The 20,906-nt window shown below is 45.6% G+C and overlaps 6 annotated features.

Annotated features, from left to right (window-relative positions):
- Positions 215–264: an enhancer, noted in NCBI's record as "active region_16109". NCBI's record gives its function as "activates an Ori minimal core promoter by ATAC-STARR-seq in GM12878 lymphoblastoid cells {active_cell/tissue: GM12878}" and the evidence as "EXISTENCE:reporter gene assay evidence [ECO:0000049][PMID:35858748]".
- Positions 4,795–4,864: an enhancer, noted in NCBI's record as "active region_16110". NCBI's record gives its function as "activates an Ori minimal core promoter by ATAC-STARR-seq in GM12878 lymphoblastoid cells {active_cell/tissue: GM12878}" and the evidence as "EXISTENCE:reporter gene assay evidence [ECO:0000049][PMID:35858748]".
- Positions 12,558–13,067: an enhancer, noted in NCBI's record as "active region_16111". NCBI's record gives its function as "activates an Ori minimal core promoter by ATAC-STARR-seq in GM12878 lymphoblastoid cells {active_cell/tissue: GM12878}" and the evidence as "EXISTENCE:reporter gene assay evidence [ECO:0000049][PMID:35858748]".
- Positions 16,348–16,437: an enhancer, noted in NCBI's record as "active region_16112". NCBI's record gives its function as "activates an Ori minimal core promoter by ATAC-STARR-seq in GM12878 lymphoblastoid cells {active_cell/tissue: GM12878}" and the evidence as "EXISTENCE:reporter gene assay evidence [ECO:0000049][PMID:35858748]".
- Positions 19,143–19,292: a silencer, noted in NCBI's record as "silent region_11691". NCBI's record gives its function as "represses an Ori minimal core promoter by ATAC-STARR-seq in GM12878 lymphoblastoid cells {active_cell/tissue: GM12878}" and the evidence as "EXISTENCE:reporter gene assay evidence [ECO:0000049][PMID:35858748]".
- Positions 19,463–19,632: an enhancer, noted in NCBI's record as "active region_16113". NCBI's record gives its function as "activates an Ori minimal core promoter by ATAC-STARR-seq in GM12878 lymphoblastoid cells {active_cell/tissue: GM12878}" and the evidence as "EXISTENCE:reporter gene assay evidence [ECO:0000049][PMID:35858748]".

Below are 20,906 nucleotides of genomic sequence, written 5' to 3' on the forward strand. Positions count from 1 at the left end.
TGATGACCTGAGGCGTCCAGGCTCCCGAGGAAAGCCTGCCGCCCTGGTTCCTACAAGGGACGCCTAAACACAGAGTCCTAAACACAGAGTCCTAAACACATGCAGGGTTGGAGGGAGACTGACGAACTCAACTACCAGCCTGCAGTCGGCAGCCATCAGCGGATTGCAGGTACCCCGCGTGCGTGTCTCGGCTACAGTGCGGAAGACAAGAGGCCTTAGGAAGTGGGAACGGGCGCCATCTGGTGGTCATCTCTGGAGTGACAGCAGAGAACTGGAACATATTTTATATTTTGTTTCCACTGCTCCATGACTTGACTAAAGCAGAAACAATTCGGAGAGTACTGTAGTATTAAATACCTAAGGGCCACACCAGGCCAGAAAGCAACAAAAAAGAAATGCTAAAAAGAAGTTCTTCAGAGAGGGATCCAAGAAGGAATAAGTGAAGGTAAAATGAAATCCTTTTTCTTATATTTAATTAATCTAATAGATAACTGATAAAAGTTCTAATAGCAACAATGTATTAGGCAATTGTAGCATATGTATAAGTGAACTGAATAACCGCAATGTTATAAAGGATGGGAAGGAGGAATTGTGAATGCATAAATGGTACCTGCACCACTTGTAACACTTGTGAAGTGCTGCAGCGTTATTTACAAGTGGAAGTAGCCAGACACAAAAGGGCAAATATTGTATGAGTCCATTTATATCGTTGCCTACAATAGCCCAAATTAGAGAGAGAGAAAGTAGTACAGAGTTTACAGGGACTAAGTCAAGGGAAAAATGGGGAGTTGTTATTTAATGGGTAGAGTTTCTGGGATGGTGAAAAAATCTACAGACAAACAGTGTTTTTTTGTTTTGTTTTGTTTTGTTTTTTGAGATGGAGTCTCGCCCTGTCGCCCAGGCTGGAGTGCAGTGGCCGATCTCGGCTCACTGCAACCTCCACCTCCCCGGTTCAAGCAATTCTCCTGCCTCAGCCTCCCAAGTAGCTGGGACTACAGGCGCCCGCCACCACACCCCGCTAATTTTTGTATTTTTTAGTAGAGACAGGGTTTCACCATGTTTGCCAGGCTTGTCTCGAACTCCTGACTTTGTCATACGCCCACCTCGGCCTCCCAAAGTGCTGGGATTGCAGGTGTGAGCCACCGCACCTGGTCCAGCAGTGATGTTTATACAACATTGTGAGTGTACATGATGCCACTGAATTATACACTTAAATATTGTTAAAATTTGTCAGGCATGGCTGGGTGCAGTGGCTCACACCTGTATTCCCAGCACTTTGGGAGGCCAACGTGGGTGGATCACCTGAGGTCAGGAGTTCAAGACCAGCCTGGTCAACATGGTGAAACCCCGTCTCTACTAAATATACAAAAATTAGCTGGGAATGGTGGCACATGCCTGTAATCACAGCTACTCAGGAGGCTGAGGCAGGGAGAATTTCTTGAACCCAGGAGGCAGAGGTTTCAGTAAGCCGAGATTGCACCACTGCACTCCAGGCATTCCAACCCGGGCTACAGGACAATACTCATAAAATAAAATAAAATAAAATAAAATAAAATAAAATAAAATAAAATAAAATTTGTCAGGCATCGTGGCTCATACCTATAATCCCAACTCTTTGGGAGACAAAGGTGGATCACTTGAGCCCAGGAGTTTCAGATAAGCCTGGGCAATATAGTGAGACCTCAGCTTTACAAAAACTTTAAAAAGGAGCCAGGTGTGGTGGTGTGCACCTGTAGTTGCAACTACTCAGGAGGCTGAGGTTGGAAGATCCCTTAAGCCTGGGAGGCAGAGGTAGCAGTGAGCCAAGATCATGCCACTGCACTCCAGCCTGGGCTACAGAGCAAGACCCTGTCCAAAAAAAAAAAAAAAACAAAGGTTAAAATGACAAATTTTGGGGCCGGGCGCGGTAGCTCACACCTGTAATCCTAGCACTTTGGGAGGCCGAGGTGGGTGAATTACTTGAGGTCAGGAGCTCGAGACCAACCTGGCCAACATAGTTGAAACCTCATCTCTACTAAAAATACAAAAATTAGCCGGGCATGGTGGACTGCACCTCTACTCCCAGCTACTCGGGAGGCTGAGGTGGGAGAATCACTTGAACCCGGGAGGCAGAGGTTGCAGTGAGCTGAGATCACAGCACTGCACTCCCACCTGGGCAACAGCATTAAGACTTATCTCAAAAATAATAATAATAATAAATGACAAATTTTATGTTATGTATATTTTACCACAATAAAAAATGAAATAGGCCAGGAGAGGTGGCTCACACCTGTAATCCCAGCACTTTGGGAGGCCAAGGCAGACGGATCACCTGAGGTTGGGAGTTTCGAGACCAGCCTGACCAACATGGAGAAACCCCATCTCTACTAAAAATACAAAATTAGCCAGGTGTAGTGGCACATGCCTGTAATCCCAGCTACTCGGGAAGGCTGAGGCAGGAGAATCGCTTGAACCTGGGAGGTAGAGGTTGCAGTGAGCCAAGATCGCACCATTGTACTCCAGCCTAGGCAACAAGAGCGAAACTCCGTCTCAAAAAAAAAAAAAAAAAAAAAAAGGAAATAACACGTGGCCAGGCACTGTGGCTCATGCCTGTAATCTCAGCACTTTGGGAGGCTGAGGCAAGCAGATTACATAAGGTCAGGAGTTCAAGACCAGCCTGGCCAACATGGCAAAACCCCATCACTACTAAAAATATAAAAAATTAGACAGGCGTGGTGGTGCACACCTGTAGTCCCAGCTACTGGGGAGGCTGAGGCAGGAGAATTTCTTGAAGCTGGGAGGCGGAGGTTGCAGTGAGCCAAGATTGCGCCACTGCATTCCAGCCTGGGCAACAGAGCAAGAAAAAAAAATGTGACATGAATAGAAAAGTTACAAATATGGTAGATATTAATCTAACTATATCAATAGTCATTTTAAATCTGAACCATTTTTTAAATCTACTCTGATGGTGTGATCATCAGAGTGGATTTTTAAAAGAACCCCAATTAGATGGTGTATACAAGAAATCCACTTTAAATATGAAAACTCAGATTAATTAAAAATAAAAGAATGAAGTAAGATATATTATGCTAAAACTAATCCAAAAAGAAAACTGGAATAGCTATATTAACTTTGGACAAAGCAGACTTCAAAACAAGGAAAATATCATGGATAAAGAAGGCAGTATGTAATGACAATGGAGTCAGTTTTCCAGAGGGATATAACAAATTCTTAACCTAGATATACCTAACAACAGAGCATCAAAATATGTGAAGCAAAAACTGATGGAACTGCAATGAGAAATAGACAGATTCACCATTTTAGTTGGAGACTTCAGCGCCCTTGTATTAGTAATTGACCCACTCATGAGGCAAAAAATCAGTAAGGATATAGTTGAACTGAACAGCATCATCAATCAATTGGATCTAATTGACATCTATAGAATATTTCATCCAGCAACAGCAGAATACACATTATACTCAAGCTCACATATAATATTCACCAAGATAAACCATATTCAGGGCCACAAAACATGCCTCAACAAATTTAAAAGAATAGAAATAATACAAAATATGTTCTGAGACCACAGTGGAATTAAATTAAAAACCAGTAAGAGAAAGATAGCTGGAAAATCCCAAAATATATGGAGAATAAACAACATAATTTTAAATATTCCAAATAAATAGGTGAAAGTAGAGCTGTCAAGAGAAATGTTTACATATTTTGAACTAAATAAAAATGAAAATACAGGTCAGGCGCGGGGGCTCACGTCTATAATCCCAGAACTTTGGGAGGCCAAGGCGGGTGAATCACTTGCGGTCACAAGTTGGAGACCAGCCTGGCCAATATGGTGAAACCCCATCTCTACTAAAAATACAAAAATTACCTGGGTGTGATGGCGGGCACCTGTAATCCCAGCTATTCGAGAGGCTGAGGCAGGAGAATCGCTTAAACCTGGGAAGTGGAGGTTGCAGTGAGCTAAGATCGCACCACTGCTCTCCAGCCTGGGCAACAGAGTGAGACTCATCTCAAAAAAAAAAATAGAAACTACAACTCATCAACATTTGTAGGCTATAGTGAAAGCAGTGCTTAAAGGTAAATTTATAGCATTACATATAAATGTAAAAGAAGAAAAATCAAAAATCGATAATCTGGCCGGACGCAGTGGTTCACGCCTATAATCCCAGTACTTCCGGAGGCCCAGGCGGATGGATCACGAGGTCAGGAGTTCTAGACCAGCCTGGCCAACATTGTGAAACCCCGACTCTATTAAAAATACAAAAAATTAGCCGGGCATGGTGGCAGGCACCTGTAATCTCAGCTACTTGGGAGGCTGAGGCAGGAGAATCACTTGAACCCAGGAGGCAGAGGTTGCAGTGATCCAAGATCATTCCATTGCACTCCAGCCTGGGTGACAGAGCAAGACTCCGTCTTAAAAAAAAAAAAAATCAATAAATAACAGCTTTCCATAAAAGAAAACACCAAGCCCAGAGAGTTTCAGTGGTGAAGTCTAACAAACATGTTTTTAATGATATCAATTTCCTCTCATCTTTTTCAGAAAATAGAAGCAGTGACAGTACTTCTGTTTTGTGTTTTCTTAGTCTATATTTGTCTGTTTCACATCCATTAGTCACAGGGCCAAACTAATGGCCAAAGTTGTTTAACACCTGTCCTGCAATCCAGAGTCCATACCCTGAACCACCCTTTGTATCTAATTCTCAGACATCAAGACAATATTTTCTTTTCCCTAAATCAACCCAGGGTCAGGTACCAGACAACTAGGGACAGCCTCTATGCCACAAAGCCCACTGGAATTCTTCTAACCGGCTAATCCTAAACTGTTTCCTTTGCCCTGCCTTGCCTTTCCCATGGAAAACACAACATAGGCTCTGGGCCGGGCTGTCCCCTGGCTCACTCTGCCTCTTGACCTACTTTGGTGCTTCCCCATGTGGCCCTCTATTGCATACCCCCTTCTCCTGGGAAACACAAATAATAAGTTCTTCTTTCAAAGACAGTTGTCTGTGTGTCTGTCACCTTACCACACCTAATTAAGACAAATCCCAGGTGCACATTTTAGAGCAACTTCCTGACTCATTGAATGGGGCCAGCTTTACCCTAATACCAAAGCCAGAGAAAGGCATTATAAGAAAGGAAAACTACAGATCAATATCTCTCATGAACATAGATGTGAAAATCCTCAACAAAACATTAGAAAATCAAATCCAACAATGTATAAAAAGAATTATACACCATGACTAAGTGGGATTTACTCCAGGTATGCAAGGCTGGTTCAACATTCAAAATAAATTAATGTAACTCATCACATCAACAGAATAAAAAGAAAAATCATATGATCATATCAATTGATGCAGAAAAATGCATTTGACAAAACCCGACATTCATTCATGTTAAATGAACAACCACTCTCAGAAAACTAGGAATAGTGGGAAACTTCCTCAAGTTGATAAAATCTACCAAAAAAACCAGTTAACATCATACATAGTGGTAACAAGCTACATGCTTTCCCCCTAAATTCAAGAACAAGAAAATTACATCCACTCTCAACACTCCTATTAAACATCACACTGAAAATCCTAACTTATGCAATAAAATATGAAGACAAAAAAAATTTTAAAGGCCAGGTGCAGGTGGTTCATGCCTTTCATCCCAGCACTTTGGGAGGTCGAGGTGGGAGGATCTTTTGAGCCCAGGAGTTCAAAAACAGCCAGGGCAACATACTGAGACCCTGTCTCTATGAAAACAGAAAAATGATCTGGGCATGGTGGTGTGCACCTGTAGTCCCAGTTACTTGGGAGGCTGATGTGGGAGGATCCCTTGAACCTGGGAAGCAGAGGTTGCAGTGGGATCAAGCCACTGCACTCCAGCCTGGGCAACAGAGCAAGACTGTGACTCAAAAAAAAAAAAAAGAAAGAAAAAAAGAAAAGAAACATTAGCTGGGCATGATGGTGTGCACCTATAGTCCCAGCTACTGGAAAGGCAGAAGTGGGAGGATTACTTGATGCCAGGAAGTCAAGGCTGCAGTGAGCCATGATCATGCCACTGCACTCCGGCCTGGGTGACAGAGCAAGACCCTGTCAAATAAAATAAATAAATAAATAAATAAAAAGAAGAAGAAGTAGGGGGCAGGTATAAGCGTTGGTAAGGAAAAAAAACCTGTCTTTCCTCACAGATGGCATTAATGTCTCTGTGCCCAAAAAATCAACAAGAACCTTCTAATGCTAATAAGCCTTATAGCAAGGTTGCAGAATCCATTGGTCACAGGGCCAATATGCAACAGTCAATTGCTTTCCTAAACACTAGCATGAACCATTGCAATTTGAAATTTATTTTTATTTTTTACTTATTTACTTTTTGAGACAGAGTCTCACTCTGTCACCCATGCTGGAGCACAGTAGCCCAATCTGGGCTGAATGCAACCTCCACCTCCTGGGTTCAACCGATTCTCATGCCTCAGCCTCCAGGTAGCTGGGACTACAGGTGCCCACCACCACACCCAGCTAATTTTTTGTATTTTTAGTAAAGATGGAGTTTCACCATGTTGGCCAGGCTGGTCTCGAACTCCTGACCTCAGGTGATCTGCCCACCCTGGCTTCCCAAAGTGCTGGGATTACAGGCGTGAGCCACAGTACCCGGCCACAGTTTGAAATTTAAAACACAATACAATTTATATTAACACCAAAATAGAAGAAAGAAATATTTTGGAATAAACCTATAAAAATAAAAGGAGAAATATTCCATGTTCACGAATGAGAAGTTTCAATATTATTAAGATGACAATTCTGCCCAACCTGATCTGTAGACTCAAGGCCATCCCAATTAAAAAAAACAAAAAGGCTGGCAAGTTATTTTGTGGATCTCTACAAACTGATTCTAAAGTTTACATGGAAAGGCAAAAGACCCAGAATAACCAACACAATACTGAAGAGAAAGAACAAAGTCAGAGGTCTGACACTATTCAATTTCAAGACTTACTATAAAGCTACAATAATCAAGGCAGTATGGTATTTGCAAAAGAATAGACAAATAAATTAATGGAACAGAATACAGAGCCTTGAAATAGATACACACAAATACAGCCATCTGATCCTTGACAAAGGAGCAACGGCAATACATTGAGAAAAGACAGTCTTTTTAACAAAGAGTTAGGAACAATTAGATGTACATAGGCAAAAAAAAAAAAAAAGAGAGAGAGAGAGAGAATCTAGGTCAGGCACGGAGGCTCATGCCTGTAATCCTAGCACTTTGGGAGGCTGAGGCAGGCAGATCACCTGAGGTAGGGAGTTCAAGACCAGCCTGACCAACATGGAGAAACCCCGTCTCTACTAAAAATGCAAAATTAGCCAGGTGTGGTGGCACATGCCTGTAAACCCAGCGACTCGGGAGGCTGAGGCAGGAGAATTGCTTCAACCTGGGAAGCAGAGGTTGTAGTGAACCAAAATCGCACCATTGCACTCCAGCCTGGGTGACAAGTGAAACTCCATCTCAATTAAAAAAAAAAAAAAAAAAGGAATCTAAACACAGGCCTTACACCTTTCACAAAAATTAACTCAAAATGGATCATAGACCTAAATGGAAAATGGAAAACTATGAAACTTCTAGAAGATAACAAGCCAGGTATAGTGGCTCACACCTGTAATCCCAGCATTTTGGGAGGCTAATGCAGGCAGATTGCTTGAGCTCAGGAGTTCGAGACCAGCCTAGGCAAAACCCCACCTCTACAAAAAATACAAAACTTAGCCAGGTGTAGTGGCACGTGCCTGTAGTCCCAGCTACTCAAGAGGCTGAGGCAGGAGGATACCGTGACTCTGGGAGGTTGAAGCTGCTGTGAGCTAAGATCGTCCCACTGCACTCTAGCCTGAGCAACAGAGCACGACCCTGTCACAAAAAAGAAGAAAAAAAGTCAACTTTAATTTAAACTATGGACCTTAGCTAATAATGTGTTCATATTGGCTTATTAATTGTAATTAATGTACCACACTAATGCAAGATGTTAATAATAGGAGAAACAGTGAGAGGAAAATATATGGGAACTTCCTTTACTATCTGTTCAATTTTTCTATAAATTTTCTATAAATTCAATTTTCTATAAAGGTGGGCTGGGCACGGTGGCTCATGCCTGTAATCCCAGCACTTAGGGAGGTCAAGGCAGGCGGATCACCTGAGGTCAGGAGTTCAAGACCAGCCTGGCCAACATGGTGAAACCCTGTCTCTACTGAAAATACAAAAATTAGCTGGGCATGGTGGTGCACACCTGTAGTCTCAGCTACTCAGGAGGCTGATGCAGGAGAATTGCTTGAACCTGGGAGGTGGAGGTTGCCGTGAGCCCAGATTGCACCACTGCACTCCAGCCTGGGCGACAGGGTGCGACTCCATCTCAAAAAAAATTAAAATAAAAATAAAGGTGTTCTAAAAGTAGTCTTTTTTTTTTCTTTTTAAAAATATTATGCTTAGGCTAGGTGCAGTGGCTCACGCCTGTAATCCCAGCACTTTGGGAGGCCAAAGCGGGCGGATCACCTGAGGTTGGGAGTTCGAGACCATCCTCACCAACATGGAGAAACCCTGTCTCTACTAAAAATACAAAATCAGCCAGGCATGGTGGCACATGCCTGTAATCCCAGCTACTCGGGAGGCTGAGGCAGGAGAATCGCTTGAACCTGGGAAGCAGAGGTTGCGATGAGCCAAAATTGCACCATTGCACTCCAGCCTGGGTGACAAGAGCGAAACTCCATCTATAAACAAATAAATAAATAGTATCCTTAAACCGATGAATAATATTTTGATGTAAGTGTTTATATGTGTTTTTCCCTGGTATTTTCTGCTACCCCATGATCTTCCCTACCCAGGCAGTTATATCAAGAGTCCCCTCTTGACTCATGGATGGGTGATTACAGAGGATCAGAGATCAAAAATGTCTGAGGCTTAACCAGAATTGGTGGTGCGTGCCTGTAGTCACAGCTACTCTGGAGGCTGAGGCGGGAAGATTGCATGAGCCCAGGAGTTTGAGACCAGTCTCGTCAACACAGTGAGACCCCCATCTCAAAAAACAAAACAGGCCAGGTGGGGTGGCTCATGCTTGTAATCCCAGCACTCTGGGAGGCTGAGGCGGGTGGATCATTTGAGGCCAAGAGTTCGATACCAGCTTGGCCAACATGGTGAAACCCCATCTCTACTAAAAATACAAAAATTAGCTGGGTGTGATGGCGCGCTACCTGCAATCCCAGCTACTCAGGAGACTGAGGCACAAGAATCACTTAAATCCAGGGGGTGGAGGTTGCATTGAACCAAGATGATGCCACTGTGCTCCAGCGTGGGCAACAGAGAAAGACTCTATCTCAAAAAAAAAAAAAAAGTCTGGGCGTGGTGACTCATGCCTATAATCCCAGCACTTTGGGAGGCTGAGGTGGGAGGATCACTTGAGCCCAGGAGTTCAAGACCAGTTTGGGCAACATAGGGAGATCCTATCTCTATAAAAAATGAAAAAATTCACCGGCTGTGATCGTATGCGCCTGTGGTCCCAGCTACTCAGGAAACTGAAATGGGAGGATCGCCTGAACTCAGGAGGTAGAAGCTGCAGTGAGCTGTGGTCACACCACTGCACTCTAGCCTGGGTAACAGAGTGAGACCCTGTCTCAAAAGACAAACAAAATGCCTGAGTCTTGACGTTGAGACTTCCAAAATCTAAAAATGATTTAGAAGATACTCATTCAGACTGGGTAGTTTTCCTTTTGGGGAGGAAGAAAAAAAGATGTCCTGGGCTAGGCCGGGCGTGGTGGCTGTAACCCCAGCACTTTGGGAAGCCAAGGCAGGTGGATCACGAGGTCAGGAGTTGGAGACCAGCCTGGCCAACATGGTGAAACCCCATCTCTACTAAAAATACACAAATTAGCCAGATGTGGTGGCATGTGCCTGTAGTCCCAGCTACTCGGGAGGCTGAGGCAGGAGAATCGCTTGAACCTGGGAGGTGGAGGTTGCAGTGAGCCGAGATTAAGCCATTGCACTCCAGTCTGGGCAACAAAAACGAAACTCCATCTCGAAAAAAAAAAAACAGATGACCTTAATTTCAATGTGCAATGTCCAGTAGTCTTCCATGTTGTTTTCAGTACAACCTCTTCAACTTGCGTATAAAAGGAGGTTAGACAAGACACATCTGCTGGTCTAATCTCCATCTTGATCTGGAAAGGGTTTATGGTGGTTTACAAGTTTATAACAAGACAGAAATTAAAACGGAGGCAAAAGGGCTTGGGCCCAGTGGCTCACACCTATAATCTCGGCACTTTGGGGGTGCTGAGGTGGGTAGATCACCTGAGGTCAGCAGTTCAAGACTAGCTTGGCCAACATGGTAAAACTCCATCTCTACAAAAATACAAAAATTAGCCTGGCGTGGTGGTGGGTGCCTGTAATCGTACCTACTCGGGAGGCCAAGGCAGGAGAATCACTTGAACCTGGGAGGCAGAGGTTGCAGTGAGCTGAGATTGCGCCATTGTCCTCCAGTCTGGGCAACAGAGCAAGACTCAGTAAAAAAAGGAAAAAAAAAAAAACTGAGACAAAAGTAAAGAAAAAGTCAAGCCAGGAATAGGGATTAAAAATTCAGAGCTTAGGCTGGGTGCAGTGGCTCACGCCTGTAATCTCAGCACTTTGGGAGGTCCAGGCGGGCAGATCACGAGGTCAGGAGTTCGAGACCAGCCTGGCCAACATGGTGAAACCCCGTCTCTACTAAAAATACAAAAATTAGCTGGGCGCAGTGGCCTGTGCTTGTAGTCCCAGCCACTCGGGAGGCTGAGGTAGGAGAATCGCTTGAACCCAGGAGGAGGAGGCTGTGCAGTGAGCCAAGATCACACCACTGCACTCCAGCCTGAGTGACAGACTCCGTCTCAAAAAAAAAAAAAAAAAAAATTTAGAGTTTAGCCAGACACAGTGGCTCACACCTGTAATCCCAGCATTTTGGGAGGCTGAGGCCGGTAGATCGCCTGAAGTCAGGAGTTCGAGAACAGCCTGGGCAACATAGTGTAACCCCATCTCTACTAAAAATACAAAAAATTAGCTGGGCGTGGTGGTGGGCCCCTGTAATCCCAGCTACTTGGGAGGCTGAGGGAGGAAAATCACTTGAACCCGGGAGGCAGAGGTTGCAGTGAGCCGAGATCGCACCATTGCACTCCAGCCTGGGCAACAAGAGTGAAACTCCATCTCAAAAAGAAAAAAGAAAAAAAGAAAAAAAAAATTCAGAGCTTAAAGAATTCAATGCTTGCCAGAGCTGGGCCGTATATTTGACTCAAAGTTTCCTAGCAGCCTGTGTGAAAAGGGAAATCTGATTAGTTATGCAGTTTACAATAACTATGTGATAAAGGCAAACTCTTGGCCGGGCATGGTGACTCACACCTGTAATCCCAGCACTTTGGGAGGTCCATGTGAGAGTCCAAGAGTTCAAGACCAGCTTGGGCAACATAGTAAGACCCCACCTCTACAAAAAATTTTAAAAATTAGCAGGGTGTGGTGGCACACGCCTGTGGTCAGCTACTCAGGAGGCTGAAGTGGGAGGATGCCTCATGAGCTGTGGTCACACCACTGCACTCCAGCCTGGGAGACAGAATGAGACCCTGTCTCAAAGAAAAAAAAAAAAAGGCACACTCCTGAATCTAAAGAAGTACAACTCTTTTTTATATAAGACCAGAAAAAAAATAATAAAACTCTATCCTGGAGTTTCTTATAAAGATGACACGTGTGATTTATTACTCATTTAAAAAGTGAAACCAGAGGAGAAACATCCTGAGGTAAGACTTTAACTGAACCCTTATGTGGTATAACAGACCTTATTTTTCATTTCATCACGCTACATGCTAAGTTAGAAACAAGTTCCCATGCATGTTAGGGTACATTTATATTTATGCCACAGTGTCAGAGTCTACACAGTTATTTTTTTCTTTTTTTTTTTTTTTTTTTGAGACGGAGTTTCACTCTTGTTGCCCAGGCTGGAGTGCAATGGCACAATCTCGGCTCACTGTAACCTCCTCCTCCCGGGTTCAAGCAATTCTTTTGCCTCAGCCTACTGAGTAGGGATGCCCGCCACCATGCCCAGCTAATTTTTGCATTTTTAGTAGAGATGGGGGTTTCACCGTGTTAGCCAGGCTGGTCTCAAACTCCTGACCTCAGGTGATCCGCCCACCTCGGCCTCCCAAAGTGCTGGGATTACAGGCATGAGCCACCTCACCCAGCCGTGTCCACAGTTTTCTAGTTTGCTGAGCTGCGGACCCACCAGCAGGTCTGCAGGGAAGGGATGTTCCTGGTAGAGCTCCTTAGGCCTCCCTCAGATCCATGGGATGCACTGGGACTGTTCCTTTAGCTACACAGATACATGACCATGTTCATCCTCTGCAGTTATTTAGTTATTACCCCAATCTTTCAGTGAAGTCTCTGCTAGACAAATGGAGTTGTAAGGTGACCTTGGTGTGACGGCAGGGGTAGTGATTATGATGGTGGTGATGTGAAAGGGTAGTGGTGAAAGTGAAGGGGATGAGGGTAGGGGTGGGGGGTGGTTACTTAAGGCTGCAGTCTGCAGTCTACTGCCGTGGCTGCTGAGAACAGTCTCTATTTGTCTGCCGTCAGTCTATCCAGATCCTTCTACCTGGGGGAAGATCTGGACTGGCCAAGCCTGGTCACATGGCAGCAACCAGGTTGCAACCAACAAAATTTCCTCTCTGGAGGGAAAATTAATCTAGATTTAGAAACTGCCAAGAGCTGGGTTTCTCAAGCCACCTTGGCCTTGAACTTCCTCCAAGGGCGGTCATCAGCAAGGGTGTAAGAGGTACTTGGGAGCCTGCAGTTGGTGGAGCTGAGATGGGTGTGGAGACCCCGCCTTTGTGATGGCCTGCAGGTTTCAGTTTTAAGCACGTGGCTTTAAAGGGGACTTTCCCCACCAGAGGAGGAAGAACTGACAATTGGAACAGCCCCTGAGCTTAACAAACTTTGCTGAAAGCAGCTACAATTGTCAAGCAATAAAGACTGAGATGGTAGAGTGTCCACACAGCTGCCGGCCGCTAGAGCCAAGACTGAAATCCAGAACCTTAGCCTGACCAAACCGGGAGTTCGTGAAAGCACAAAGCCTTCTGTGGGAAGGAGAAGGGAAATGAAAGCTAATATTAGGCTAAGCAGTTGTTGATAACGTTAAAAGTTTATGCCAAGTCAATGTGAAGAAAGAAATGACCAAAGATGGGCTTTCTGGTGGAGGAGATAAAGGATCATTGAGATGAAATGAGACCAGCATACCTTCCCTGAGATGCAAATTGCCCTCACCCCCCAATCTCAGCTAGGGAGACTGGGGGAGGGAGCTCTTTAAAAAATCAGGCCAGGCACAGTGGCTTGCTCCTGTAATCTCAGCACTTTGGGAGGCCTAGGTGGGCGGATCACTTGAAGTTAGGAGTTTGAGACCAGCCTGGCCAACATGGTGAAACCCTGTCTCTACTAAGAATACAAAAATTAGCAGGGTGTGGTGGCGCATACCTGAAATCCCAGCCTGTGCAACATGGCGAAACCCCGTCTCTACTAAAAATAGAAAAATTAGCCAGGCACCTATAATCCCAGCTACTTGGGAGGCTGAGGCATAAGAATCACTTGAACCCAGGAGGCGGAGCTTGCAGTGAGCCGAGATGGCACCACTGCACTCCAGCCTAGGCAACAGAGCGAGACTCCGTCTCAAAAAAATAATAAATAAGTAAATAAATAAACAAAACATAATAAGTTCAAAATTCCAATGGTAAAAAGAATACACAGTGGAGTTTCCCACTCTGGGACACCCAGTTCCCTTCCCCAGAGGATCTACTGGTTTCTTTTGTTTCCTTCCAGAGCTAGTTTATACATATACAAATTATATGAGTGTGTATGCATATATATACTTTTTTCCTTTTTTTCCTACAAAAGGCAGCATATTATTAATATAACAGGGTTCAGATACATGCTTTTTCATATATCAGGATATCTTGGAATGATCCAGATCAGTACCTAAAGAGGTTCCTCTTTTTTTTATAGTTGCATAGTATTTCTTTATGCAGTTGCACCATCATTGTTATTTATGTTGAGCACAGAGGTTACTTCCAGTCTTAGTTATTACCAACAGTGCTGCCATGCAACACCTTATACAAATGTAATTTCATACACATGCAAGGAAAGAAGCAGTCCTAGAAGAGAAAATGGTGGCAAAATTTTGTTAGTTATTGCCAAATTGCCCTCCATAAAATTTACACCAACTTTACCCTCCCATTTGCAATACAGGGCGGTGCTCCAGGTGTGAATGGAGACGACTTCGAGCTCACTGTGCTGAGAAACTGCTTTTCAGAGGGCTTCTACAGAGCCCACAGGTGAGTGAGCCCCTGGAGGAGGGGGCAGCTCTCTCCTTCCAAAGCTCTTCCTTTATACCTTTCTCATCTGAAGTTATGAAATTCACCATGGTCATTTGTTTAGTCACTCTCCCCACTCTGGCTGTGAACTTCTTAGGAGCTAAGATTTGGCTTTATTGGCCAGTGTGGTGGCTCACGCTGTAATCCCAGCACTTTAGAAAGCCGAGGTGGGTGGATTGCTTGGGCTCAGGAGTTGGAGACCAGCCTGGGCAACATGGCAAAACCCCATCTCCACAAAAAATATAAAAATTAGTCAGGTGTGGTGGCTCACACCTGTAGTGCCAGCTACTCGGAAGGCTGAGGCAGGAGGATCACTTGAGCCCAGGAGGCTGGGGTTGCAGTGAGCCAAGATCGTACCACTGCACTCCAGCCTGGGTGACAGAGGGAGACCATGTCTCAAGAAAAACAAAAACAAAAACAAAAGATTAGGCCTTTATTCACCTTTACACCTGTAGTGTCTGGCCCAGAGCTCTTAGATGATCAACAAGGGTTTTATTAGATGAGTGAAAAAAATTAATAAATTGGGCCAGGTGTGGTGGCTCACGCCAGTAATCCTAGCACTTTGGGAGGCCAAGTTGAGACAATCATCTGAAGTCAGGAGTTCAAGACCAGCCTGGCCAACATGGCAAAATCCTGTCTTTACTAAAAATACAAAAATTAGCCAGGTGTGGTGGTGCGTGCCTGTAATCCTAGCTACTTGGGAGGCTGAGACAGGACAATCTCTGGAACCCGGGAGGCGGAGGTTGCAGTGAGCTGAGATCATGCCACTGCACTCCAGCCTGGGCCACAGATTGAGACTCCGTCTCAAGGAAAAAAAAAATGATAAATTGGGCTTCTAGGTTCAATCTCAGGAAAACAACTGGAAACTATATACTGTAAGGACTAAGGCTATAATCACCTTAAGAGATTTCATGACTCTGCAACTTCCCCATGTGTGGGATTTTTGTCTTCTCACCTGTATTTCCCTAGACAGACTAGTAATTAAACATCTAAAACAAAAAGGGTCAGTGCCCTGTAAGCGTGTAGAGTATCCTGACTCAGCCAGCAGGTATCTTCCGCTCACTGGGCCCACACTGGCCACAAGGCCAGGACATAGCTTCTGTCTCAGAATCCTAGTCATGGCTCTGTGGTGCCATCTTTTTAGAAGTAGAAGTATTTCTTGAGGGCTACAATGTGCCAGGCACTGGACTGGTGGTCTGAGCTCCATCTGCATAGGGGAGGGATTTCAGAGCATTGCCCCTTAAAGTGAATACTTGTTGCTTGTTCCCCACCCCTCTTTCTCCAGCACAAGACCCTGCTGCAGGTTCCTGACCTCAGAGATCCATTCAGGGGCCAGCAAATGACCCTACTGGCCCCATCAGAGTGACTCTCAGCACTGCTGCAGGCACCTGTGGATAAAAGGCTTGCCCTTTTTGGCTTGACTTGATCTGGAAAGGAATGAGTTGGAACTACTATTACCATTTTTTTTTTAGATGGAGTCTCGCTCTGTTGCCCAGGCTGGAATGCAGTGGTGTGATCTCAGCTCACCAACCTCTGCCTCCCGGGCTCAAGCGATTCTGGTGCCTCAGCCTCCTGAGTAGCTGGGATTACAGGCGTCCACCACCACGCCCGGCTAATTTTTGTATTTTTAGTAGGAGATGGGGCTTTACCACGTTGGCCAGACTGGTCTTGAACTGCTGACCTCAAGTGATCAGCCTGCCTCGGCCTCCTAAAGTGCTGGGATTACAGGCGTGAGCCACTGCACCTGGCCTACTATCACCATTTTTTGCCACCACACAGAGAACCCCCCCAAGAATAGAGCTGAGAGATAGGAAGTGAGACTGAATCATCAGGGAGTGAAATCAAGGGCCTTGCCACATTTACATCCCTAGATCCAGTCATGCCTAAAGTGAGGCTTTCAGTTACATGTGAGAAAGAGCTCTAGCATATATTCTCTGTTCTCTCTGACTATAGAAGATCAGTCACATGACAAATTTTATTTCACAAAGCTGCTGGAGGCCTGAGCTATAGGTCTGCATACAGGTAAGAGGCCCCCCGATGAAGACTGAGAGGAAAGATCCATAGATACATGGGTGAAACAAGGTCAATAAAAGGCATTCTGCCTCCACTGAGATACAACAGGTATGTAAACATATGGGAGAGAAAGGGAAATGGGTCAGTCAGAAGCCAAGCCAAGCTGGGGTTGTCAACTTGGTCCAGGAGTGGGAATGAATGTGCCAGTCCCCCCCAATTACCAGGAGACATAATAAATGATTGTTAAAGGCTGGGTGCGGTGGCTCTTGCCTGTAATCCCAGCACTTTGGGAGGCCAAGGCGGGTGAATCACCTGAGGTCAGGAGTTTGAGACCAGCCTGGCTAACAGGGTAAAAGCCCGTCTCTACTAAAAATATGAAAAAGTAGTGGGGTTTGGTGGTGCTCGCCTGTAATCCCAGCTACTCGGGAGGCTGAGGCAGGAGAATCGCTTGAACCTGGGAGAAGGAGGGGTTACAGTGAGCCGAGATTGCGCCACTGCCCTCCAGCCTGGGTGACAGAGCAAGACTCTCTCAAAAAATAAATAAATAAATAAATAAATAATTGTTGTTGTTTGTGTCACCGACACAGTAGATAACTGAAACTATCTTCCTTCCCATATCTGCTCCTCTTCTTTTTTTTTTTTCTTTTTCTGAGTCGGAGTTTCATTTTTATTGCCCAGGCTAGAGTGCAATGGCCCAGTCTCAGCTCACCACAACCTCCCGGGTTCAAGCGATTCTAGTGCCTCAGCCTCCTGAGTAGCTGGGACTACAGGCATGCGCCACAATGCCCAGCTAATTTTAGTAGCGACAGGGTTTCTCCATGTTGGTCAGGCTGGTCTTGAACTCCCAACCTCAGGTGATCCACCTGCCTCAGCCTCCCAAAGTGCTGGGATTACAGGCGTGAGCCTCTGCGCCCGGCATCTGCTCCTCTTCTCATATCTCCCATGTTGGCTAATGGCACCAGCACCTCCTGTGGTAAATATGTATTCTGTCTTTGTCCTCAGTCTTTGCACGCAGCTCCTATAACCCTTGGAATCCCTGGAATGATATCTTTTGTGTGCTAATAAGGTGCCTGGTGGCTGGGGGTCCCCGACATAGCTTGAGGATGGGGGCTGGTCACCAGAGAGACCAAGGCATGACAGAATTGGAACTTTCAGCTCATCCCCAGACCTCCAGGAAGGAAAAGGGGCTGGTGATTGAGTCAATCAGCATTGGTCAATGATTTCATCAATTGTGCCTGTGTAATGAAACCTCCATAAAAACCCCTAAATGATGAGATTCGGGGAGCTTCCAGTTGGTGAACACACTGAAGTGCTAGGAGGGCGGCCTGCCCAGAGGAGACATAGAAGCCCTGCGTGCCCCTCCAATACCATGCCCTATGCTTCCACCTGGCTGTCTCTGAGCATATGTCCTTGATCATAAAGTGGTAAGCCTAACGAAAGTGTTTCCGAGTTCTGTGAGCCATTCTGGCAAATTATTGAACATGAAGAGGGGGTTGTGGTAACCTAGGACTTCTATAGCTGGTTGGTTAGAAATACAGATGGTAACCTGGTACCAGCAACCGACATCTGAAATCAGGGCAGTCTTGCGGGATGGAGCTCTTTGGTGGCATTGACACTAATTCTAGGTAGATAATGTCAGAATGGAATTGATTTGTTGGATACCCAATTGGTATCTGGAGAGTTGAATAACTGGTCAGTATAAGAAAAAACTCACACATTTGGTGGCAGAAGTATTGTGAATAAAAACAGTTCAGAGCTCCCCTACTCCCAAACCAGAAAACCTGGAGTCATCTTCGATGCCACCCTCTCACCACCCACCCTCTGCACTATCCCTGCCAATCACTTGCCAAGTTACCCTGATTCCACCTCCAAATACCTCTCTCATCTCCCGTCTTCACTTTTCATTCATCATTTACTCATTCAATCACAAATATTTGCTCTTATCTTCTCTGTGCCAGGCTTTGTGATAGGCATTGGAGTCAGAAGAATGAATGAGACCTGGTAGGAAAATCACAATCTAGTGGTAAAACAAAAACCAGAACACAATCATAAAGCAATGGGATTCACACTCAGAAATGCATAGAGCTGCTGGGCGTGGTGGCTCATGCCTGTAATCCCATCACTTTGGGAGGCCGAGGTGGGCGGATCATGAGGTCAGGGGTTCGAGACCAGCCTGACCAACATGGTGAAACCCTGTCTCTACTAAAAATACAAAATTAGCTGGGCGTGGTGGCACATGCCTGTAATCCTGGCTACTCAGGAGGCTAAAGCAGGAGAATCACTTGAACCTGGGAGGCAGAGATTGCAGCAAGCCGAGATCGCACTACTGCACTCCAGCTTGGATGACACAGTGAGACTCTGTCTCAAAAAAAAAAAAAAAAAAAAGAAAAGAAAAGAAAAGAAATGCACAGAGCATCATAGAGTCCAGGGCAGGGGTCCCTGACCAAGCTCGGGAATGGTGGGGGATGGGGTGGGGACATCAGTGGAGTTTTTTGGGGTTTTTTGTTTTGCTTTGTTTGAGACAGGGTCTTGCTCCGTCACCCAGGCTGGAGTGCAGTGGTGTGATCATAGTTCACTGCAACCTTGAACTCCTGGGCTCAAGGGATCCCCCGGCCTCAGCCTCCTGAGTAGCTGGGATTACAGGCATGAGCCACCACACCCAGTCAATAGACTTTTCTTGATGTGGGTGACACCCAAGCTTTAAGTTTGAAGACTAAAGGAGAGCTGGCACACCAACAGTATACGAGGGGAGGGGAGGGGAGAGGGGAGGGGAGAGGAGGGGAGAGGGGAGGTGAGAGGGGAAGGGAGGGGAGGGAGGAGGGGAGGGGAGGGGAGGGGAGAGGACACAGCAGGCTGGTAGGGCAGCTTTGAATATGGCTCAGAGGCGAGGCGAGCAAGGTCTGAATCACTTCTGCTCCAAGTCCAGGCCCACATTACTTCTTATACGGACAAGAGGCCAGTAACTGCTCTACCCACACATTCTCCTCCCCTACCATCAGAAAAATCTCCCTAAAGCTCAAATTTGACTTCCTGTCTCCCCTGCTTGCTACCCTCTGCTGGTTCCCCTTTCTGATCTGTGGTGTCTCAGCTCCACCTCTGTTCATAAACTTCATATGGTGCCTTCAAAAGTATTTCCGTCTCTGGACCTTCATCCCTGCACTACTGTCTGCCTGGAATTTCCTGCCCTGCCTTGGTTGATGAGGTGGACTCCTATTCATACTTCAGAGTGACTCAGATGTGACTTGTTCCACAAAGTCCCCACCCACTTGCACTCACCTCCGTGGTGCACGTATTCCAGGGCCGTGAGCTTCACCTCTCTGCACGTCTCCCTCCTGCTACAGCTGTGAGGGTGCAGACCTCCTCTGCTGGCACCAGGGCCCGGCCTGCAGTGGGCCTTTGGCAAATGAGGAACTAGGGCTACCGGTAGGTGAAAATGCAGCTAATGCCCAGGAAGCTAGAAGCTGTTGGAACATTTCTGAGACCCTTTAGACCTGGAAATAGCTCTATGTTAGAGGGTTGCTGATAGAGAAGGCTGGAAGTGAGGTCCCTCTGTCCCCAGCTCGCCTCAGACCCTGGTTCCAGATACAGTTGCATGTGTTTCCAACCAAGACTCTGACCTGGCTCCTCAACCAAACCTCCCCTGCGTCCATGGATCTATCTGAACTCCCATTTATAATCGTAAGAGGCTGTGGGTTAGAGGCGCTGTGCTAATGATGGCTGTATGGTTATTATGATTGTGAAGTTGTTATATTTTACATAGAATACAAGTTTATGTACATTACGATTAAGACTAGTAAAGCTCTTTGGAACTTTAAAAACAAATCCCAGTCAGGCGTGATGGCTCACGCCTGTAATCCTAGCTCTTTGGGAGTCCAAGGCAGGAGGACTGGTTAAGCCCAATTCTCCAGGAGTTTGAGACCAGCCTGGGCAACATAGTAGGACCCCATCTCTACAAAAAAATAAAAATCAAAAAATTAGCCAGACGTGGTGGCATGCACCTTTAGTCCCAGCTACTCGGGAGGCTGAGGCAGGAGGACTGTTTGAGCCCAGGAGGTGGAACCTACGGTGAGCCATGATCTCACCACTGCACTCCAGCCTGGGCAACAGAGTGAGACCCTGTCTCAAAAAAACGAAACAAAACAAATCTCAATTCAATTACATTTAATTATTTCAAAAACCAAGCTCTCTCATTGTACAACATTCAAACAATAACGTAAGAAAAAGTGCCTATGGGTCCCAAATTGGTGTGACTCCTGTGTCCTGTCAGCCTATAGAAACACAAGTGTCTGTGTGTGTAACTTTGACCCCTTCTCCTCCCCCTCCAAAAAATGTACATGCATATATATATATATACTTTTTGTTTTGTTTTTGTTGTTTTTTGTTTTTGATATTAGTAGAGACAAGGTCTCACTATGTTGCCCAGGCTGGTCACAAACTCCTGGGCTCATGCGATCCTCTCACCTTGGCCTCACAAAGTACCGGGGTTATAGGCGTGAGCCACCATGC

This window comes from Homo sapiens, chromosome 2 (genome assembly GCF_000001405.40).
Source record: "Homo sapiens chromosome 2, GRCh38.p14 Primary Assembly".
Taxonomy (NCBI): domain Eukaryota; kingdom Metazoa; phylum Chordata; class Mammalia; order Primates; family Hominidae; genus Homo; species Homo sapiens.